At 48.7% G+C, this 22,517-nt stretch overlaps 1 protein-coding gene across 3 annotated transcripts in view, besides 7 other annotated features; it reads left to right on the forward strand.

Moving 5' to 3' along the window:
- Positions 1-10,320, forward strand: part of NUP214 (nucleoporin 214) — a 109,078-nt gene extending 98,758 nt beyond the window's left edge. For all 3 annotated transcript variants that reach the window (NM_005085.4, NM_001318324.2, NM_001318325.2), the window contains 4 exons: positions 3,817-3,988; positions 6,287-6,426; positions 7,941-7,965; positions 9,111-10,320. In NM_005085.4, the coding sequence (NP_005076.3) occupies positions 3,817-3,988; positions 6,287-6,426; positions 7,941-7,965; positions 9,111-9,144 (371 nt within the window). In that variant the 3' untranslated portion in view covers positions 9,145-10,320. The remainder of the gene's footprint in view (positions 1-3,816; positions 3,989-6,286; positions 6,427-7,940; positions 7,966-9,110) is intronic.
- Positions 2,465-3,464: an enhancer, noted in NCBI's record as "H3K4me1 hESC enhancer chr9:134102195-134103194 (GRCh37/hg19 assembly coordinates)". NCBI's record gives its function as "activates a minimal SCP1, AML or CMV promoter by ChIP-STARR-seq in primed H9 embryonic stem cells {active_cell/tissue: H9 hESC(primed)}" and the evidence as "EXISTENCE:reporter gene assay evidence [ECO:0000049][PMID:30033119]".
- Positions 3,465-4,463: an enhancer, noted in NCBI's record as "H3K4me1 hESC enhancer chr9:134103195-134104193 (GRCh37/hg19 assembly coordinates)". NCBI's record gives its function as "activates a minimal SCP1, AML or CMV promoter by ChIP-STARR-seq in primed H9 embryonic stem cells {active_cell/tissue: H9 hESC(primed)}" and the evidence as "EXISTENCE:reporter gene assay evidence [ECO:0000049][PMID:30033119]".
- Positions 10,566-15,454: an enhancer, noted in NCBI's record as "VISTA enhancer hs1963". NCBI's record gives its function as "enhancer in: somite[12/14] | branchial arch[11/14] | heart[12/14]" and the evidence as "EXISTENCE:transgenic organism evidence [ECO:0001131][PMID:17130149]".
- Positions 12,490-12,990: an enhancer, noted in NCBI's record as "H3K27ac hESC enhancer chr9:134112220-134112720 (GRCh37/hg19 assembly coordinates)". NCBI's record gives its function as "activates a minimal SCP1, AML or CMV promoter by ChIP-STARR-seq in primed H9 embryonic stem cells {active_cell/tissue: H9 hESC(primed)}" and the evidence as "EXISTENCE:reporter gene assay evidence [ECO:0000049][PMID:30033119]".
- Positions 12,991-13,491: an enhancer, noted in NCBI's record as "H3K27ac hESC enhancer chr9:134112721-134113221 (GRCh37/hg19 assembly coordinates)". NCBI's record gives its function as "activates a minimal SCP1, AML or CMV promoter by ChIP-STARR-seq in primed H9 embryonic stem cells {active_cell/tissue: H9 hESC(primed)}" and the evidence as "EXISTENCE:reporter gene assay evidence [ECO:0000049][PMID:30033119]".
- Positions 13,547-14,114: an enhancer, noted in NCBI's record as "H3K4me1 hESC enhancer chr9:134113277-134113844 (GRCh37/hg19 assembly coordinates)". NCBI's record gives its function as "activates a minimal SCP1, AML or CMV promoter by ChIP-STARR-seq in naive H9 embryonic stem cells {active_cell/tissue: H9 hESC(naive)}" and the evidence as "EXISTENCE:reporter gene assay evidence [ECO:0000049][PMID:30033119]".
- Positions 13,911-14,070: an enhancer, noted in NCBI's record as "active region_29171". NCBI's record gives its function as "activates an Ori minimal core promoter by ATAC-STARR-seq in GM12878 lymphoblastoid cells {active_cell/tissue: GM12878}" and the evidence as "EXISTENCE:reporter gene assay evidence [ECO:0000049][PMID:35858748]".

The following is a 22,517-nucleotide window of genomic DNA, read 5'->3' on the forward strand; positions in this document are numbered from 1 at the left end:
AGTCTGCACTCCTGTCCTTGTTGATGGAAAGTTGTGTGAAAAGAGTTTTTTTTAAGACAGGTGGTCCAGGGTGGGCTGTTTGAGCAAGCAGCTTTTTAAAGCAAACTCCCCCTGGGTAAGTGGGCAGGACACTTGGCCCTCGTATGCAGGGGATGCTCTGAAATATGCTAATTCCAGAGGAAGGATCTAACCTCAGGACTAGATGCATCAGTGGCTCTGACCTGGGAGTAAGGCTGCCCCAAATTAATACATGGAGTCTCATATTTAGAGCCTAAAGTGCTGTGGTTTCCAAATCCACTGTGCACCTTACCTCAGATTGTGACTCAGGTAGCTTAGTCTTTCTTTGGTTGCTAGTTGTTAATACTGTTTTCCTAGAAATTAAAACAGAATATTCTGAAATGGGCTTCACAGCTTTCTTTTTGCTACACACACAGTGCATTGTTTAAAAATGAAAGGGCCACAAGGCTTTTATCCCAGTTAGAAAGGTGCATCGTGAACATTTCAACTGGGGAATTTTAGTTCATCGATCATCAAGACTTTTTATGTTTTTAGGAGGCTGATAATGTTTTCTTTGACTCTTAACGGTTTTCCTATATATGGTTCTTTATCCTGAGATTATATCCCCATTGATTTGGAAATCTGACCTTTGAAAATTCCACCTGTAATCCCAGCAGTTTGGGAGGCTGAGGTGGGAGGATCACTTGAGCCCAAAAGTTCAAGACCAACCTGGGCAACATAGTGAGACCCCATCTCTAAAAGAAAAAAGGAAAATCACACCTAATTCAGACACTGGGTACAGTGGCTCACGCCTGTAATCCCAGCACTTTGGGAGGCCAAGGAAGACAGATCACTTGAGTCCAGGAGTTTGAAACCAGCCTGGATAACATGGCAAAAACCCGTCTCTACAAAAAAAAATAATGCAAAAATAAGCCAGGCACGTTGGTGCACACCTGTAGTCCCAGCTCCTCGGGAGACTGAGGTGGGAGGATCAATTGAGCCTGGGAGGCAGAGATTGCAGTGAGCCAAGATTATGCCACTGCACTTCATCCTGGGCAACAAAGCAAGACTCTGTCTCAAAAAAAAGAAAGAAAATCTGACCCTTTTATTTGTCTAGTCTTAGAGAAAATGTATGCCCCAACTTTTCATAGTAAGTACTTATTTGCCCCATGAAACTAATACTTAGATTGAGGCCTCGAATAGAGAACAACTATCTTTCAGATACATAAGATGAGTGAACTAGTAACCATAAACATCAAAGTGAGGGCAGGGGAAAGGCCACTCCCCCTCATGTTTCAGGACTTCATCTCTCTGCTGCAGAACTCGTATTGGTTCTGGGAGAGCTTTTTCTATTGAAAGAGGGGACTGGAAGTCCCGAGCAGAAGGAAGGGCTGCTGTGAATAGAGGAACTGCCTTCCTGTCCAGGCATCAGGGCACTTTTTGCTTTAAGAGAGATTTTAAGTTGATGATTTGGATGGGTCTTTGAAAAATTCCAAAAGTATCTATCCTCCCTTCAGTAAAATTGCATTATAAAATTATCCTGCTGGAGGTCATCCGGGGAGAGGACAGGAGGAAGGTGGGATGGACTGAAGATGGCCTTGCTGCCCACCATGGTCAGTGGTCTACACCCTGCTGTCTCGCTAAAGTGTTAGATTTGGAGGGAGGCAGGCAGGGGATGAATGATGGGGAAGATGAGAGGTGGGCGTTTGAGTCGCACAGACCTTGTTCCAGTCCCAGCTCTAGCACCCATCAGCTGGCTGAAGTTGGGACAAGTGGCATATTCTCTAAGTCTCAGTTTCCTCCCCTGTGATGTAAGGATCCCAGGCTTATTGGGAAGATTTAAGAAAACTGCTGTGAAGCACCTGGCATATAGTGGGCCCTCAATAAATCAGAAAGTTTATCATCATTGATTATTAGAAAATTTGTTTCTTCTGGAGAAGAAATTTATGAAAATACGGCAACTGATAAAATCAAACCCCTCCTGCCATCAGGAGAGAGTTGCCTCTTTAAGCCAGAGTGACTGTTTTCTTCCTGTTTAATTTGGCTGTGACCCAGGTGTGTTGTTTGGGGGCTTTTTCTCTCTGTGTATATTTAACCGCCACCCCTCCCCTGTCCAGTTTATTTTCTGTATCATCATGACTTCCCATTTTTCACTCACCTTCCACCAAGAAGTCTAAGCAATATTGATACAAGGTACTAGATAGCGCCCTGCATGTCTAGGAAGAAAGTGTAACTAGATCTGTGATCAGTCTTAAATAATTCAACTGTAAGGGTTTTTTAGCACTTTTTTTTTTCCAGTCTGTTATATTTATAACCCAACAGTCTCCATTATCATGGCTTGGAATTTCACTCAGTGTTTTAACATGCGGAATGTTAACCCAAACACGAGCCTTAGCAAAAAAGTATCTTCTCAGTTGTGCAGCCTACCACTGTTAATGGCAAATAGGCACATGAGTGAATCACAAAATAACAGTTAACTGAGGGATTCAGCTGACAACTTTTCATACCCAGGATTTGATCTTTCCTGATTCAGATGGCAGAAGCTTGTGTTGTGATTACATAAACAATAAGAAGTCTGGATTTCATCCCTCTAACAACAGATTGACTTTCTGAAAGGGGAGAAAAGGCTTGTCGCTAGGCCACCATTACTCCCGCTAGCACGCAGTTCATAGGCCAACACTCACCTTAAGAAGTACTCCCTTTAGAGGGTGCTCCCAGTTAGAGCACATTTCTTATGCCATTCTATTCCATTCATTCAAGAAGACACTCACTGAGTGTCTATTCTAATACTTTAGAATGATTTCAGCAGTATCTTGGAAGTTTGGGAACCCGCATCAGGAATAGCTCAGGAGAGGATGTTTTGTCTTCCTGCCTGACAGGCATCACCAGCAATCAGAGTAGGGTGCCCTGTGCGTGACCTGACCCTTGTCTGTGTGGCCACCTGTGTGGTGCTGCCCTCTGGCAGCCTGAGCCCACTGGGCAGCAGTGTTGGCAACGTTGCAGAAGGCATCTGAACTCTAGGGCTGTCCTCACTGTTGACTTATTATTTTATTAGATTTATGCAGCAGCCTGCCTCCAAAGAAGAAATTTGGTGTGTTTTTTCATTGGGAAGTAATTCCAGACTGCAGGAAAAAAGCATTTAAAAAAAAAAAAACAAACCTCCACTGAGCGAGAGAAAGGGAGACTCTGATGAGAGACGTAGGAGCCATCAGGCTGTAAATAAATAAAAAGCACCTGGCTGGGCGCCAGCATACACGTCTCTGTCTCTGCTATGACCCAATTCAGGGATTCTCCCTGAGAGGAGGTTTTGAGCCTCTGATTTTATAATTTGGGTTTCTATGAAGCTGGATGTCTTGCCTGTGTACTGATAAGTAATATAGTCTGTCATCTTTTGTCAGCTAGGTAGGGATTGGAGTTTTTGAGAATGGTTTTTCACTCCAAACAGCTCAGAGGACCTGGGAGGGGTGGAAGGTGCACCGAGTGGGCTCTTGGAGGTCTGCTCACACGGCTTCACAGTGACTTCACAGGGTCTGCAGGAGCTCTCCTGAGTGGACCCCAGAGCCCTCTGCTAGGAATGGAGGGGAGTGGTTTGGTTTGAGGGCTTTTGTTTTGTTGTTTTCATTACTATTTTCTTGATAGAAGGGCGGGGGGGAGGGGGGGTGTTGCCCTTTACTCTAGTTCTTGCATTTGAATTGCTAACATCCTCTTTTCCCTTTTTTCTTCCTATTTTGATTTGGTTTCTCATTGCTCAATGTCTTCTCTTCCTGTCTCCTCCTTTCTTTCTCCCTATTTCTGTTTGTTTGCCTCTGTTTTGCTCAGGTGGCTTCGGTGCTGCTCCAGTGTTTGGCAGCCCTCCTACTTTTGGGGGATCCCCTGGGTTTGGAGGGGTGCCAGCATTCGGTTCAGCCCCAGCCTTTACAAGCCCTCTGGGCTCGACGGGAGGCAAAGTGTTCGGAGAGGGCACTGCAGCTGCCAGCGCAGGAGGATTCGGGTAAGCCCCCTGGGGAGGGCCCTTGGGAACCCACACGCCAGCCAAAAAGCACTAGGGGCCTGTACTCTTGCTCTGAAAAGAAATTTGACCATGAGGTGAAGGCCCCTCCCTTGAAATTTGTGAACAACTCCCTCAAGGATTCCTGTACCTCTCCAGGGTAAGACTCATTTCGTTCAAGCCAGGCTTTGTTGAATTCATGGTGGACCTCAGCTGTGTTGCTGTTCCCTGGTATGAGAAATGCTGGTCATCAGAGCCCCTGTTCTCCTGCTGGGGCTAAAGGAAGGCACCAGCCCTGCCTTAACTACTGCTTTGTAGCCAAGAGGTGCCCCGGTGTGGAGCTTCTGTTAGGAAGTCCTCAATGAATGGTTTTCACCAGATTCTTTCCTCTTGGGATTATTCTGTGTTAGACCCGTTGTCCTTGAACAAACAACTCCCTGTGTCCCCTGCTCCCCTGCAGCCCCCCAGAGTGAGTATTCAGTTGCACAGGTCCTCCCGTGGGAAGATCCTGGATGATCAGGGATTTCGAAGCTGCTCTCATTGCCTCGTGTGCGTCTGCACTGGAAAAGGCCATTTTTAGGGAGTCGCTTTTAAGGGCAGAATTTCAGTGTGGTTGCCAAAACCCCAAGGGAAAAAAACCTTCACCACACCACAACATCCCAATTTAAAAAATGTACACGGGATGACTACCAAGTCTCTTGTTCAAAGGAGGTGTCGATGCCTGAAAGGAGTTCTAAAACGCCTCTTGCCGCAGTACTGGGCTCAGCATGAGCTGAAGGTTTGGGGGAGGGGAGATGATTTTGTCTAGGGGAATTGTTGAGATACTTGGATCTGAGTCTTGGCAAGATGACAGCATCTTTATCTTGAAAATAAACTATAGTATGTTCTTACTCACACCCTTCCCCTCCGTGCAAGATGCTGGAGCGCAGCAGCAGGAGTGAGAGGGTTGGCGTGCTGCTTCTCCTGTTTCACGGGAGACTGATGCCTTAGGTTTGCCCTCAGGAAACCCCAAGAATTAAAGTTAAGGAAAGCTTTGAAAGGACAGTTAGAGACCCACTTAGGCTGGTATTCTCAGAGGTCTTAATGGATGCTGTTCTCTGCAGTGATGAACCAGCACACAGTACCACAGAGTTGGTAGAAGGTTTGGGTTGGCTGGGTATCTTGTGAATTGATTTATTTATTTGAAACCAGCTGTTTTCTTTACTAGTAGAAAAGTATATTCTGCCTTGGGGCGGCTCTCACACAAATCCCGATTGGCTGGTTAGTCAGTCCTAAAAAAGGTTAATGCCAGGTCAGTTATTAAATCTCCATAAGAGCCCATTACCTTCTTCCAGGTCCCTGGCCATGAGCCTGTCTCCGACCCTGAAGGGCAGGCTGTTGCTGATGAGGCCCAAGGCAGGAGGAGGAAGGGAGCAGGCCGCTCCTGGGAGAAAGTCCAATGAGAGCAGATCCCTTGGCCACCTTTGTATGGAAAGAGCCTTGACCTCACCATTAAAAGTGAATAGAATGGTGGGAAGGCAGAGTTTTAGATACTTTTTCTTGCTTTGGGGTTGATTCTTGCCCCCAGGTGCTGCCCCTTCTCCCAGAAACCACTGATCCGTTTCCCTCACCTAGTCACCTCCAGACCCCAGAAGCTCTCCCCAACCCAGCCGAGTTCCTCTGCAAACAATTCAAGGGGCTCTGATAGGTCACACAGTGCCACCTTGTGTGCTGGACCATATCTGGAGGGAGAACTGAGTGAGGGGGCACAGGGGATTGTCTCCAGGTGGGGCGAGCAGGGGAAGGAAAATAGTGGCCACTTTTACATTGGTTTGGGTAGTAATTATTGATTCAGGAAGCAAATACAAAATCCTGAATGAAATGACTTGGAAAAAGTAAATAGAATCAAGATCCCAAGAGGAGCTGAAGATAAATAAATGGGAGCAGGATGTGGGGGAATGGTCGGTAAGTGAGAAATGCTAAAATGATAGAATAAAGCTTAAGGATTGTTGGAGGTAGAGCAGGAACTGTGTACTGCATAGTTCCCAAATGCCCTGGTGTTCCAATGGGGGATGGAAACTAAAACACTGGCCAGGTTGGATTTCATACTGTAGTCCTGCCATTTTTCTTCCTAGAGCAGAGATAAAAGTTGGCCCTGGGCGATAGCTCATTCTCTCTGAAAGGCTGCTAGTTAGGCCCAGCCTGTCACCCTGGATCATGAGTGTCGTGTGTATTGGGACTTACAGCAGGGGGCTGAGGCTTGCAGATGGGCAAGTGGTGAGAGGCCCCACTGACCTCAGTCTGTTTCTCACTGGAGCGCAGGTTTGGGAGCAGCAGCAACACCACATCCTTCGGCACGCTCGCGAGTCAGAATGCCCCCACTTTCGGATCACTGTCCCAACAGACTTCTGGTTTTGGGACCCAGAGTAGCGGATTCTCTGGTTTTGGATCAGGCACAGGAGGTAAGCTGCCACAAGTTCTCCCCTCACAAGCAAAATGGGTCCCTCTTGCCTTCTCCCCCAAAGAAATGAGTATGTTTTACCTGACCAGTCTGTTTAGTATTTTAAAAGCTGACTGGGCACGTGGTTCACGCCTGTAATCCCAGCACTTTGGGAGACCAAGGCAGGAGGATCACTTGAGCCCAGGAGTTTGAGACTAGCCTGGGCAACATGGCAAGACTCCATTCTCTACAAAAAATGTTAAAATTCGCCAGACATGGTGGCACACACCTGTGGTCCCAGCTACTCGGGAGGCTGAAGCAGGAGGATCACTTGAGCGCTGCAGTGAGCTGTGATTGCACCACTGCACTCCAGCCTGGGTGACAGAATGAGACCCTGTCTCAAAATAAATAAATATGTAACATACTGAAAGTGGTTGAAACATATATATATATATATATTTTTGAGACGGAGTCTCGCTCTGTTGCCCAGGATGGAGTGCAGTGGCACAATCTCGGCTCACTATAAACTCCGCCTCCCGGGTTCACGCCATTCTCCTGCCTCAGCCTTTGAGTAGCTGGGTCTACAGGCGCCCGCCACCAGGCCCGGCTAATTTTTTGTGTTTTTAGTAGAGATGGGGTTTCACTGTGTTAGCCAGGATGGTCTCCATCTCCTGACCTCATGATCCACCCACCTCGGCCTCCCAGAGTGCTGGGATTACAGCACCTGGCATATATATTTTTTTTTAGGTTTTAGTTAGACTTAGAACACTGTGTCATTTCTTACCAAAGAAATTACTGTCTTGATTTCCTCTCAGGATTTGAGAAGCCCAAAATAATAATGGTCTTACTAGGCCTTGGTTTAAAAAATCTAAGCCAGCAGACTCAAAAAAAAAAAAAAAGGCATAGAAACTTCACAAAACATCTTGCATTTGTTTAACACTCTGCTTCTTCAGATGGCAGAATATGTGTCTTCCATTTTGTTCTTGCAGTAAACTGACAAGGCACAGAATTTAGGTATCATTACAATTGTACCCGTGAAGAAACAGAAACTCCAAGGAACTAAGTGTTAGCAGTTAGCAGTAGAACCAGGCCTAGAATCCAGCCATCTTGCTTCTCTGGCCCCCAAAAAGAAGAGGAAGCAAATGGATGGAAAAACAACAACAGCAAAAAAAAAAAAAAAAAAAAAAGGTTTTCCTAATGAATGGATCTATGTGGTCCAGTACAGCTGAGAGGCCAAGCCAGAGACCCTCTGCCTACAGCTGGGGCCGAGGAGGGAGGAAGAACCCTAAAATACCAAGAAGATAACTCATAAAAAGTAAAGGATTTTTTCTGCCTTCTGGGGGATCTGAGTAGCTCCAGAGGACAAACTCAGAATAAAGGGGCTTCTGTGTGTACCTTTCCTGCCTTCCTGTAGGTGGTGGAGGCACGGAGGGCTTCCCACAAGAAGCACAGAGGAGGGCAGACACTTAGCATGGGGACCACCTTTGTCTTTCGAGTGGATGCGTGCTTTAACTTCACTCTTATTCTGCTTTTCAGGGTTCAGCTTTGGGTCAAATAACTCGTAAGTATCCCCCTTTTTGAGTCTCACCTTAATTAAAAGCATTAAATAAGGTTGGAAGTGTGTGGATCTTGCTGGATTTGTGCATTTTCTTTTCGTTTTTTCCTGTTTTTAGAGTTTGTCCTGGAAGTGTGGGGGTTCAGCAGCAGGGTTTGGGTTTTGTGGACTTGCTCTTCTCTGTAGCAATATGGCAGGAGGTGCCAGGCCTCGCCTTCTTAAGAGGCGTGGTTCAAAGAGAAAAGAGCACGCCTGCCAGTGAGCTGGGCCTGAGGGCAGCGCTGAGGAGATGCTGCTCCTGACTTCCCTGGAGGTTTCTCAGAAGCTGCATGCTAACCCCTGGGCTCTGGGCCATCACCAGGTCTCATGTGTTGATCCACCCTCTGTGCTTCTGTGTAAAATTTCATGGCGTTAAAATTCAGTCTTAGCCAGGTGGGTGGTTCACGCCTATAATCCCAGCACTTTGGGAGGCTGAGGTGGGAGGATTGCTTGAGCCCAGGAGTCAAGACCAGCCTGGGCAACAGAGTGAGACCCCATCTCTACTAAAAATTAAAAAAATTAGCCGTGCATGCTGGCTTATGCCTGTGGTCCCAGCTACTCCAGAAGCTGAGGCGGGAGGATCACTTGAGCCTGGGAGGTTGAGGCTGCAGTGAGCCAAGATGGTACCACTACCGTCTAGCCTGGGTGACAGCCAGACCCTATATCAAAAGAAAAAAATATATATACTGGCCAAGCACGGTGGCTCACACCTGTAATCCCAGCACTTTGGCAGGCCAAGGTGGGCAGATATTTGAGGTCAGGAGTTCGAGACCAGCCTGGCCAACATGGTGAAACCCCATCTCTACTAAAAATATATATATATACATATATAGATAAACACACAAGAATTAGCCAGGCGTGGTGGTGCATGCCTGTAATCCCAGCCACTGAGGCTGAGGCAAAAGAAGCACTTGAGCCCGAGAGACAGAGGTTGCAGTGAGCTGAGATCACGCCACTGCACTCCAGCCTGGGCAATAGAGTGAGACTCTGTATCAAAAAAATAATAATAAAAAATCTGAGTCCTGACCTTTGCACACAGGCAGAGCAGCAGAGCCTGTGACTGCTCTGTGACAGAGCAGCTGACTCCACCACTGTCCTGTGCTTCCTTGCAGGTCTGTCCAGGGTTTTGGTGGCTGGCGAAGCTGAGGGCGTGTCAGCAGGCCTTTCGATCCCTGGGACCAACCGCATCCTCAGCTTCTTCCCCGAGAAATGCTGGAGCAGGCTGTTCAGACCGACGTTGCCATCAAAACACATACACCCAGAAAGAAACAACAGAAACCAAAACTCACAAGGCGCATGATTACTTGTTTTATATTTCATGTTGGGTTTTCCCTCCCACTATTAAACAGTCTGTTTCCGTACAGAACGTATGTGGGTTTTTTCAGATCACAGCCAAGAAGATTGCCCCGTTTCTGTGGCTCTGAGAAGCCAGCAGAGCCTCCATCAGCCAGAACACTGTGTCTTCAAGGATGGCATCAGAAGTCACCAGCGTCGGGTGTTGATAAACAGCATCGAATGTGCCGTGGTCTCACTTGGACCTAGCGCCCTCCACATAGGGAAGAGGTTGAATGCTGGTGGGTCATCTTTTTGAGGCTGAAACTTGGTTATCTCCTCTCCTTGTTCTTTTAGCCATTGTGTATCAGGACCATCCAAGGACGCACTCTGCGATTGAGTGGAGGCAGAGGAAGCCACTCATGCCAGCAGCAGTTGAGTTTCAGAAGCAGCCATAGCGCTTTTCAGTACAGTACAATAGTAGCCAGCGTGAGGCAGGACAGTGCTGCGCCTTAGCCGGCCTTGGCTCTCATCTCCATGTGGCTCTTGGGTGCCATGTGTCCTACTCCAGAGAGGAGGGGGCCGGTCACTTGAGAAGACAGCCTTTATATTCTGTATGTGGCAGTGACATTGGTAGCCACACCTACCCAGTGTCTACTAACCACAGTGCAGATAGCCCTTGGGTAGACCCAGGAAGTGTGAAGACAGACACTGCTGTTGCCAGACAACACTAGCAGAACGATGCTGGATTTGACAACAGTGTTTGCTAGGACGGCCCAGAGCTCATCACTGCAGTTTTATTAGAGTGCTTCTTTATCTTTAATGCAGTATCTTTGAGGCCTGTAACATCCTAGATAGTTGCCATCAAACAAGGACCGTCTCGCATTGAAAACAGATGTAAGAATTTCTCTTTCAGGCCCAGAATCTGACAGTGCTTTGGCTTGGGTCATGAGCAGCGGGGAGTTGGGAAGAGATTTTTTTTTTTAGAGTTTTACATATTGGCAGGTTGTATTTTTTTAATGTTTTAATAAAAGTTTGACATGACATTAATTCATCATGTTGCAGACAGTGTGACCTCCTTGGTTCTGATGGCTTATGTGGGGACAGTAGACCATGGTGAGGTCTCCACTGTGTCACCACCTGGTCTGAAGGTCCCCATCTCGCCTGTGCCCCAGGGTCACCTGCAGAGTTCTTTGTCAAGTGCACATTCCCAGCCTCCATCCTGGGGACTCTGGCTCCAGAGGACTCCGATAGAGGCTGGACGCCCACCTGGCTTTGTGTTTGGTGATTTCTTAAGCTCACGAGAAGAGGAATCTCATTGTATAGCACTGTTGGGTTTCAGAAATCCCTCCCTCAACCAGATGCCAGCAGAGCCAAGAGCTGGAATTAGATCCGTGGTGTCTCTGGATGACTGTCACCCTGCGCTCTGTGCAGTTAGGAGAGGGAGGGGCTGTCTGTACGGTCCGTTATCTAGGGGCTCTGCCTCTCGCAAAGAGCTGGGGTCTCCATAAATTTAATGTGTGCTCTTTTTGGTCCTTGAGAATTGAAGAGCCTGTCACCTCCACCCTGTGTTCACAGGTGAAGTGGGGGGACAGTCCCCATGACATTCACAACCAGTCACAGGGCATCTTTCTCCCACGTGGGCTCGTGCTAGTCTAGAGACAAAGGGACTCAAGCTCTGACAGGAGAGGCTCGTGGCGGAGGGCTTAGCTTTAAAGGGAGAGATGTACCTGAAGCTCTGCAGGCTCCGTTCTGCCCTTGGCTGTCATCCTGCCGACTGGCACCCAGGCCGAGCCAGTCTTCTCCTACCCTTTTGCTTCCCCCTGGACACTCCTTTTTATAAATAGAAATGGTTCGGCCTAAACCCTTGACCTCAAATTCTCTGCGTTGATCCTCCATTGAGGTGGCATGTGACATCTCTCCATAAGGCACTATCAGCTGTGCTCAGGCAGATAACACCCCCACTCCCTGTCAGGCAGCAGCCCCGGAGGAATGTACTACTGGCATGTGAGCCCCTCCAAGTTCCTTTTTTGGGGGTGATTACAGCGGTAGATGGCAGGGGTCAGCTCAGCCTGCATCCCCTGACGCCTGAACTGTCAGGATATCCGGCTGGAATGCACAGTCGCTCCCACCTGCCCAGGGAGGAGATGGCGGGGCTTGAGCCATCTCCAAATCGGGGCAGGCAAAGAGCCTGGATGACAAGAAGGGGCCCCAGGGATGCCCACGCAGCCCTTCTGGGGCATGTGCTGCAGCGGCAGGCACAGGAGGTTTCATTTATGTTTCTGCTCCGCGTAACTCAGGAAAGGGGGCGCAGACTGAGCTAGGCTGTGTTTTGCTTGGCTTTTCCAGACACACATATCACACTGGTAATTGGTGCTTCAGATGGCAACATAGGGATAGAGGCCAAATTGAGCTCCTCAGGGACAGGTAGAACCCCAGTTACACGACACCCACAATCCCGGCCTCTCGTTTGGGCAAAAGTATGAGTCCTGTGGCACGGTGATGTGGCTGAGCCGGTGGTCCCCTCCACATGGCCCTGCCCACCTGTGAGTGTCCTGGTGCCTGCTTTCAGCTTTGCGTTCTCTGTGGCAGCCTCCAGAGAGGCTTCTAGGTCAGGTCTCTGGCATTACAGAGAAGGAGTGGACTGTGCAGGCTGCCCTCACTCTTACCCCCACCAGCTCTGTAACCAGAACGAGGCACTTGGCCTCTGTGTCTTGAGAGTTTTTCCCCTCAGTTGTAAAGTAGAATTCGAATACCTGTCTGGCAGGGTGGCGGTTCGGACTAAATGAGGTGCACCTGGCCCAAAGCTGCTTCCCAGTCTTGGCGATGCTGTTACGCTCACCCGCAGGCTCTGGCCTGACATCTGGGTTAAATGATCCCAAGTTGGTTCCCACTTTGACCTCATCTGGTCTGTGGGGTGGGGACATCTCCTGCCTGGCCTTCAGGCCCCTTATCAAACACAGGACCCTGCTGCTGGGGAATGGTGCGGCTCTAGTGCGGCGCTCAGGCTTTCGCTGGAGATTTTTCATCAGGGCTAGGCTAGGCCCTTGAATCTGTGTTTTTCCTAAAGTGGGTGATTCTTGTACAGATGGTCCATGAACCCCATGGGCCTTCTGCTTTAATCTAAGGACAGTAGCCATAAATACCCACCCAGGGGGCATCTGAAAAACAGAACCCAGCTCCCATGAACATGTTTATTTTGCAGTTAATCCAGGCTAAGGGATTTTATCTGAAATTGTTGATAAGAAACACAAGTGTAAATTTAAGCCGCTCTGGCACCTGCTCAAAAAAGAAAAACTCTAAAAGCACAAGTGGGCCAAGTCACCTCCTTGCCACTCAAAACACTTTGAACCCTCCTCTGTGAGTCCCTGTAACAGAGGAGGAAAGACCTTCCTTGCCCTCATCCTGCCTTGCAGCAGCTCACCCCACTTGGCTTCTGGACTGCCACTTAGTTGTTTATTCTATTTTTTTTTTTTTTTAAGACGGAGTCTTGCTCTGTCACCAGGCTGGAGTGCAGTGGCACAATCTCGGCTCGCTGCAACCTCCGCCTCCCAGGTTCAAGGGATTCTCCTGCCTCAGCCTCCCGAGTAGCTGGGACTACAGGCGTGCACCACCACGCCTGGCTAATTTTTGTATTTTTAGTAGAGACGGGGTTTTACCGTGTTAGCCAGGATGGTCCTGAACTCCTGGACTCAAGCCATCCGCCCTCCTTGGCTCCCAAAGTGCCGGGATTACAGGCATGAGCCAGTGCACCTGGCCCCATTTGTAATTTCTCTTAGAAGACCTGTCCAGTACTTCTCGGCATTTGATTTTCAGCCAACAAAACTGGCCCAGTTTCATGCCAGAGATGGGGCTTCTTGCCTGAACTTCCTCTGAGGAAGTCCGTGGAGCACCCTGGCTGGAAGGCAGGGATAGTGGATCTCCCAGCCTGGGCTGCCAGCTGGTCGGATTCCTGCGTGTGCACCCCCATTGCTCTGTCTCAACATCACTCTCTACTTTCCTCCTGGGGAAAGGAGGAGGAGCAATTGGATGGAGGGTGTATCAACCCCCAAACTTCTGCCGTTTTCAAAATGTCTCCTATGGGAAGTTAGTATTCTATAAAAAAAAAAAAGGTGGGGGGGGGCTCTATGGCCATATAAGTTTAGGAAGAGTGGATGGAACAAAATTTAACATCTTTTTATTATAAAAAAGACCTTTTTGAGCCTTTAATATGCAAATATGTTTTGTAAATCAACAAGAGGAAACAGTCCGCCATTTCCCAAATACGTTTGCTCGGAACCTTTCTCCTTGGAGTTGGGGTCCTTGGCACTCAGGCTGGGAACCGCTGCCTCGTTGATGTTGCTATACGGAAGCACAGCTCACTTCCTGCTGGTTGTGTTTCTAACACACATTCCTTTTTAAAAATTGCTTTGTAATAGTAACAACTCACTGGATGGCTACAGCATGCCAGCACTGACTATGCTAAGCCCTTCACTGACATTTTCACATTTCACCCTGTGAGCCACGTACTACAACCCACAGCTTTCAGATGAGAAAATGAGGCTGAGCCAGGAAGCGGTTTGCCCAAGTCTCACAAGAGAATGAGGGGCGGAGCCAGCACTGGGGCCCGGGCAGTGTCTCCCTCCCGCTCCTGCCAGGCCCTGGCTGGCTACCATTGGATCTCCTGATTCTTCTCCAAGATACCTGTTCATTTCCAAAGAAATCTTGCCGGCTGGTGCCAGCAACACTGCTGAACCCCTTACCGACCAGCAGACCACCCTGTGAAAACAAGCCGGCCTTGACATCAGTCACAGCAAATAACCCTGACACCACGCAGTTACCTGTCCCCTCTGCTGCCTCTCACCTGTTTGTATCTGTGATCACGATCTGTCTACAACGGCAGCCCGGCGGGGGCTGGGCAGAGGCCGGGCCTGTCTAGCTTATGTTGGCGTGAACCGCACATGGACAGGGGTTTGCGGGTCCTGACGAGGACTCCAGGGTGGGAGCAGCTGGCTCCATACCCTTCAGCTGTGTCATCTGCCCTTCCTCTGCCGTCTCCTCTGGGGTCTGGCTTTGAGGCTTGCCAGAGTCCCACCAGAGGTCAGGCCACAGGCCCACTGAGGTGGCAGTTGCTGCATTGTTATAAATAGAAGCCCATCCATACCGCAGCCCCGGCCGGCCGGAGATTCTCTGCATTGTTTTCAGACCTAGATTGCCAGCTGCAGAGGCCACAGGCAGGGGTGGGGGGAGCGAGTGGGCTGTGGATGGAAGGCGGGAGCCCCAGCATATGAGACAAGAGCCGAGCCCGGTCCTGGCTAGAGGCGACCTCTCCTTGCTGGCATCCTGGCCCGTGAGGGTACAGAAGCAGCTTTGCTTTGTGGCCCATCGGATGTTGGCTTTCTCGACCTCACCTAGTGCCTTTCCATCTGGAAGCCTAGAAGGGGGCTTGGCTGCCATGCAGCCCTCACAGTGCCTGCAGGCCCTCCTGTCTGGCCCTCCTCCCCCTCCTGCCCCCTTCCGCATCTAACTCTCCCTGCGGTTCTCCAGGCCCCTCTGCACTTTCTCTGCTTCTCAAATGGCCCATTCTCCTCGTCGCCACAGGACCGCTCCATCCTCTGTCCCTTCCTGCTCATCCTGCAGGTCTCCATTTAAGCGCCACCTCCCCACGGCAGAGCCTTCCTGGTGGGCTGACCTGCTCACAGGCACTGGCTCCCTTTGTGTGCTCCTGCCCTGCCGCACTGCTATTTTGAGGCCTCCGTCGCAATTGAAATTTCTCGTGTAGTCGGTGGTTTCATTCATTTATCTAGTCCGTCCCAGCAACGGGCAGCTCTGTGAGGGCAGTGCCAGGACAGAGCAAGAGTCAGGAACTGTTGATAAATGACTCCCAGCACGACTTCCTAGAAAGAAGCCAAGACTTGTTCAAAAGCCAGACCCCCACCTGAGATGACAAGAGATAGCAGGTATTCAGACAGTTCAAGGGCACAGGGCCAGCTAATGGCACCAGAGGCACACAGCAAGGCCAGGGCTCCCCCACCCTGCCCAGGGGTCCTCTGGGTCTCATCCCAGGAACGCACTAGGGCAGGGCAGCCAGGTGAGTGGTGAAGAGTGCAGACTGGGTGCAGGAGGCCCTGGGGAGGAGGCCTTTCTCTGAGACACCAGCTGGAGCAAGCCGTCCCATCTGCCCCCCGTGAAAATGAGGCAGGTGCCGTGTGCCTCACAGGGCAGGGCTTGCACGGGGCTCAGGGCAGCGCCTGGCAGAGTCACTGGGGTGCTCACGGTGGCTTCCCTGCCTTCTCAGGGAGAGACCCAGGCCCCAGCAGACGGACCCCAGTGCCCCACGAAGTCTTCCCTGATCCCACAGCTGACCGGCAGCACTCACTTCAGGAATGGGGCTCGGGGACCCGCAAAGGTCCAGCCTGGGTGACAGAGTGAGACTCTGCCAAAAAAAAAAAAAAAAAATCAAGACAGTAGACATCAGACAAGGAAGGACAGTGATCCCCAAGATTCAAGAAACTAATGAATGAGCCATATGATTGCCCCAGTTACCGCCTGGAGAGTGTGTCCAGATCACAGTGCATGGAAGGAGAGCCCAAGAGGAGCCCGACAGTCTCCCGGAGTTTACAAAGCAGAGGACTGGGGAGGAGAGGGCCTCACACAGAGAGAACTCTGGACCCTTGCGGAGGGTCCTCTCGAGTATTCAACTGAGTACTGCTCAGCTTGGTACATGTGAGGAAATCCCGGGTCTAGAGAAGGAAAACAACATGAGAGGATTAGAGGCAAACTCTTCAGAACTCTAGGGCGAAGAATAGTGCCTCTTCCTGCCGGCCGAAGTGGAAAGCCTCATAAATCACTTCGCATTGGAAACAGTGCTCAGAAACGTTTTGTCTCGGTGCTGGGAGAATATGAGTCCTACCCAGAATGCCACTTGGATCTCACCTAACAACGCTTAAAAGCAAGACCCAAACAAATCAAACTATTTCCAAGTAAGAGCCCAGAACAAAGCCCAAGAAGCGCATAGGAATACAAAAGCACCCGGTAACGGGCGGCTGTCAAAGGTAGCAGAGGGGCAGGCCCTGGTACGCAGTGGCTGAGGCCATCTCCTGGGCCACCTGTGGCTATCACAGCCAAATAGGTACTGCTGGACCAAGAGGTGGTGGTCCTGGGTGGCAAGGGCATCAGCGTTTCTGGCAATTTCTACAGAAACAAGTGAAAGTGCCTGCCCTTCCCCTGCAAGTGGATGAACGCCAACCTATCCTGCGCCCCCTACCACTTCCAGGCCCCCAGCCACATCTTTAGGCAGACTGTGTGGGGCATGCTGCCCCGAAGACTAAGTGAGGCCTGCCGGGCACAGTGGCTCACGCCTGTAATCCCAGAACTTTTGGAAGCTGAGGCAGGTGGATCACCTGAGTTCAGGTGTTCAAGACCAGCATTGGCCAAGCTGTTGAACCCTCATCTCTACTAAAAATACAAAAATTAGCCAGGCGTGGTAGCAGGTGCCTGTAATCCCAGCTACTCAGGAGGCTGAGGCAGGAGAATCGCTTAAACCCAGGAGGAGGACGTTGCAGCAAACCGAAATCGCACCACTGCACTCCAGCCTGGGCAACAGAGCAAGATGCCATCTCGGAAAAAAAAAACCAAAAACAGACTGGCCAGGCACAGTGGCTCATGCCTGTAATCCCAGCACTTTGGGAGGCCAAGGCAGGCAGATTACGAAGTCAGGAGTTTGAGACCACTGCACTCCAGCCTGGGCAACAAGAGCGAAACTCTGTCTCAAAAAAAAATTTAAATTTAAATTTAAAAAGACTTAAGTGAGGCCAGGCTGCCCTGACCACCTCCAAGTATCTGGTGGGATCCCACCACCCTATGACAAGAAAAAGCAGAGGGTGGTTCCCGCTGCCATTAAGACTGTGTTTCACGCCTCTGAGAAAGTCTGCCCACCTGGGGCGCCTGGCTCACAAGGTTGCCTGGAAGTACCAGGTGGTGACAGCCACCCTGGAGAAGAGGAAGAAGGTCAAAATCCACTACCAGAAGAAGAAACAGCTCATGAGCCTACAGAAACAGGCTAAGGGCAGGCATGGTGGCTCATGCCTGTAATCCCCGCACTTTGGGAGGTTGAGGTGGGCGGATCACTTGAGGTCAGGAGTTCAAGACCAGCCTGGCCAACATGGTGAAACCCCGTCTCTACTAAAAATACAAAAATTAGCTAGGTGTTGTAGCATGTGCCTGTAGTCCCAGCTACTAGGGAGGCTGAGGCAGGAGAATTGCTTGAACCCGGGAGGTGGAGGTTGCAGTGAGCCAAGATCGTGCCACTGCACACTCCAGCCTGGGCCACAGAACGAGGCTGAATCTGAAAAAAAAAAAAAAAAAAAAAAACAGAACAAAAAAGTCCTGCTTGGGCGGGGTGCAATAGCTCACCCCTATAATCCTCGCACTTTGGGAGGCTGAGGCAGGAGGATCATTTGAGTGCAGGAGTTCAAGACCAGCCTGGGCAACATAGGGAAACCCTGTCTCTACAAAAAAAAAAAAAAAAAAAATCAAAGTTAGCTGGGCATGGTGGCATGTGCCTGTAGTCCCAGCTACTCAGGAGACTGAGGTAGGAGGATCACTTGAGCCCAGGAGGTCAAGGCTGCAGTGAGCTGTGATGGCATTACTGTATTCCAGCCTGGGCACCAGAGGGAAACCTTGTCTCAAAAAATAATAATAATAAATATAAACTTCCCACTTAGTCATATACTATATCTGCAGATGTTAGAATGTGAGAAAGTGGCTGGGCACAGTGGCTCACACCTGTAATCTCAGCATTTTGGGAGGCCAAGGTGGGCAGATCACCTGAGGTCAGGAGTTCAAGACCAGCCTGGCTAATATGGTGAAACCCCGTTTCTACTAAAAATACAAAAAATTAGCCAGGCGTGCAAAGAAGCAAAGAAATATAATCTATAATGGGTAAACTCAAACAATTGAGATGGGCCCCGAAATGACTCAGATTAAAAAATTCGCAGTCAGGGCCGGGCGCGGTGGCTCATGCCTGTAATCCCAGCACTTTGGGAGGCCGAGGAGGGCAGATCATGAGGTCAGGAGATCGAGACCATCCTGGCTAACACGGTGAAACCCCGTCTCTACTAAAAATATAAAAAATTAGCCGGGCGTGGTGGCGGGCGCCTGTAGTCCCAGCTACTCGGGAAGCTGAGGCGGGAGAATGGCGTAAACCCGGGAGGCGGAGGTTGCAGTGAGCCGATATCGCACCACTGCACTCCAGCCTAGGCGACAGAGCGAGACTCCGTCTCAAAAAAAAAAAAAAAATTCGCAGTCAGAAACTTTAAAACCATGATCACAACTGTACTCTGTATTTCCAAGAAGCTAGAGGAAAGATTAAACCTGTTGAATAGAGGCATAGAAGAGATACAAAAGATCCCAGCTGAACTTGTAGAGATGAAAATTATGGTATCTGAGAAACACCGGGGAGGGATTAATAGGCTATTATCCACAACAGAGGAAAAGATGAGTGAACTTGACTTGAAGAAATAGCCATAGAAACTACCCAAAATGAACTACACACGGAGATAAGAATGAACAAATTCGGAACAGATCATCAGTAAATGGTGGGACAACTTTGAGTGGCCTAATATATGTGTAATTGGAGTCCCTGAAAAAAAGATGGGGAGAAAAATACAAAAAGATCAGAAATGGTAACTACATGAGTAAATGTAAAGATTGGGGTGTAGGGGCTTTTCTAAATCTCTTTAAAAGAACTGCTTAGGCCGGGCACGGTGGCTCACACCTGTAATCCCAGCACTTTGGGAGGCCGAGGGGGGCAGATCACGAGGTCAGGAGATCGAGACCATGAGACCATCCTGGCTAACACGGTGAAACCCTGTCTCTACTAAAAATACAAAAAATTAGCCGGGCGTGGTGGCGGGCGCCTGTAGTCCCAGCTACTCGGGAGGCTGAGGCAGGAGAATGGCATGAAATCAGGAGGCGGAGCTTGCAGTGAGCCGAGATCACGCCACTGCACTCTAGCCTGGGTGACAGAGCGAGACTCGTCTCAAAAATAAATAAATAAATAAAAAATAACTGTTTAAAGCAAAAATAATAACAATGTACTATGGGTTTTATGATATATGTGGAAAAATGTAGTATGACAACAGCTGGGCACAGTGGCTCACACCTGTAATCCCAGCACTTTGGGAGGCCGAGGCGGGCAGATCATGAGGTCAGGAGATCGAGACCATCCTGGCTAACACGGTGAAACCCCATCTCTACTAAAAATACAAAAAAAATTAGCTGGATGTGGTGGCGGGCACCTGTAGTCCCAGCCACTCGGGAGGCTGAGGTGGGAGAATGGTGTGAACCCGGGAGGTGGAGCTTGCAGTGAGCCAAGATTGTGCCACTGTACTCCAGCCTGGGTGACAGAGTGAGACTCTGTCTCAAAAAAAAAAAAAAAAAAAAAAGAATTACAAGGAGGAATAGATAGATCCATAGTTATAGTCAGAGGTTTCAACAGCCCTGCATCAATCTTTTTATTTATTTATTTATTTTTTTGAGACAGGGTCTCGCTCTGTCACCCAGGCCGGAGTGCAGTAGCACACTCTCAGCTCACCGTAACCTCCGCCTCCTGGGCTCAAGCAATCCTCCCACGTCAGCCTCCCAAGTTGCTGGGACTACAGGAGCACACCACCATGCCTGGCTAATTTTTGCATTTTTTGTAGAGAAGGGTGTTTGCTATGTTGCCCAGGCTGGTCTTGAACTCCTAGACTCAAGCAGCCCTCCCACCTCGGCCTCCTAAAGTGCTGGGATTACAGGCAGGAGTCATTGAACCCTACCCTGTCTCAATAATTGACAACACAAATAGACAGAAAATAAGTCAGAATATAGAAGACTTGAACAACACTATCAACACACTTTGAACCTAATTAACATTTGTAGAACACTCCACCCAACATCAGTAGAATATGTGTTCTTTTCAAGTGCATACAAATAGGAAGACCATATTCTAAGTCATAAAATGTGGGCGGCAAGCCACCCAGGTGCCGAGGCAAGAGACCGAGGACACGAGCTGTTGCAGTATAATAAAATATAAAACAAGAATAGTTATACCAGATATAGATCTTAGATATGATTATCTATGAATATCATTAATCACTAGTTTGTAGCAATTACTCTTTATTCCAATATTATAATAATCCTTGCTCTACAATCATAACCTAGGAAAAACCAGGTCACACAGAGATAGGAACTGAGGGGACATAATGAGAAGTGACCAGAAGACAAGAGTGCGAGCCTTCTGTTATGCCCAGACAGGGCCACCAGAAGGGCTCCTTGGTCTAGCGGTAACGCCAGTGTCTGGGAAGACACCTCTTGCCAAGCAGACCATGGTCTAGCGGTAGCGTCAGTGTCAAGGAAAAACACCCACTACTTAGCAGACCGGGAAAAGGAGTCTCCTTTTCCCTGGGGGAGTTTAGAGAAGACTCTGCTCCTCCACCTCTTGTGGAGGGCCTGACATCAGTCAGGCTCGCCCGCAGTTATCCGGAGGCCTAACCGTCTCCCTGTGATGCTGTGCTTCAGTGGTCATGCTCCTAGTCCACCTTCATGTTCCATCCTGTACACCTGGCTCTGCCTTCTAGATAGCAATAGTAAATTAGTGAAAGTACTAAAAGTCTCCGATATGCAGAAATAATGGAGTAAACTGTCTTTCTCTTTGTCTCCTCTCTCTCTCTGCCTCGGCTGCCAGGCAGGGAAGGGCCCCCGGTCCAGTGGACACGTGACCCACGTGACCTTACCTATCATTGGAGGTGACTCACACTCTTTACCCTGCCCCTTTTGCTTTGTATCCAATAAATAACAGCGCAGCCAGACATTCGGGGCCACTACCGGTCTCCGTGCATTGGTGGTAGTGGTCCCCCGGGCCCAGCTGTCTTTTCTTTTATCTCTTTGTCTTGTGTCTTTATTTCTACACTCTCTCGTCTCCGCACATGGGGAGAGACCCACCGATCCTGTGGGGCTGGTCCCTACAATAAAACAAATCTCAATAACTTTAAAAGGATTCAACTTACACAAAATATGTTCTCTGACCACAATGGAATTAAATTAGAAATCATTAACAGAAAGATAGCCAGAAAAATCTCCAAATAGTTGGCAGCTAAATAACACATTATTTAAAAAAAGGAACTCAGAAAATATTTTAACTTAATGAAAAATGAAAACATGACATCACAAGTTGAGGTGCTAAAGTAGTACTTGCAGGGAAATTCATAGCACTAAATGCCTATATTAAAATAAGAAAAAAGTGTCAGGTGCAGTGGCTCATACCTGTAATTCCAGTACGTTGGAAGGCTGAGGTAAGTGGATTACCTGAGGTCAGGAGTTCGAGGCCAGCCTGGCCAACATGATGAAACTCTGTCTCCACTAAAAATACAAAAATTAGTTGGGCATGGTGGCAGGCACCTGTAATCCCAACTACTCAGGAGGCTGAGTCAGGAGAATCGCTTGAACTGGGAGGCAGAGGTTGCAGTGATCCAAGATCGCGCCGTTGCACTCCAGCCTGGGTGACAAGAGTGAGATTCCGTCTCAAAAACAAAGCAAAACAAAACAAACAAAAATTAGCTGAGCATGGTGGTGCTTACCTCTAGTCCCAGCTACTAGGGAGGCTGAGGCATGAGAATCGCTTGAACCCAGGAGGCAAAGGTTGCAGTGAGCCGAGATTGCACCACTGCACTCTAGCCTGGGTGACAGAGTGAGACTCTGTCTCAAAAATGAAAAATAAAATAAGAAAATAAAGAAAAAAGCTATCTTAGGAACTAGAGGAAGAAAAATAATAAATAACAAGAAAGGAAATAAAGATCAGAGCAGAAATCAACGAAGTAAACAAAACAAGACAAAAATAGGAAAAAAATAAAATCAAAAGGTGTTTCTTTGAAAAAATTAATTAATTAAACTCTAGCCAGACTGATCAGGAAAAAAGCAATAAGATATAGATCACCAATGTCAAGGAATGAGAAAGACAACGTCACTACACATCCCTTGGATATTAAAAAGAAAATCAGGGAATATTATGTATGTTTCTATCAAAATCAACTTCAATGAAATAGACAAATTACTCAAAAACAACAATTATCCAAGTTCACTCAGCAAGAAATAAATAACCCGAGTATCCCTATGCCTATTAAAGAAATTGAATTTATCGTCAAAAGTGTTCTCGTAAGGAAAACTCTTGGCCCAGATGGCTTCCCTGGTGAATTCTAACAAACGTAGAATTCTTCCTTAAGGAAGAA

Source organism: Homo sapiens, chromosome 9 (genome assembly GCF_000001405.40).
Source record: "Homo sapiens chromosome 9, GRCh38.p14 Primary Assembly".
Classification (NCBI taxonomy): Eukaryota; Metazoa; Chordata; class Mammalia; order Primates; family Hominidae; genus Homo; species Homo sapiens.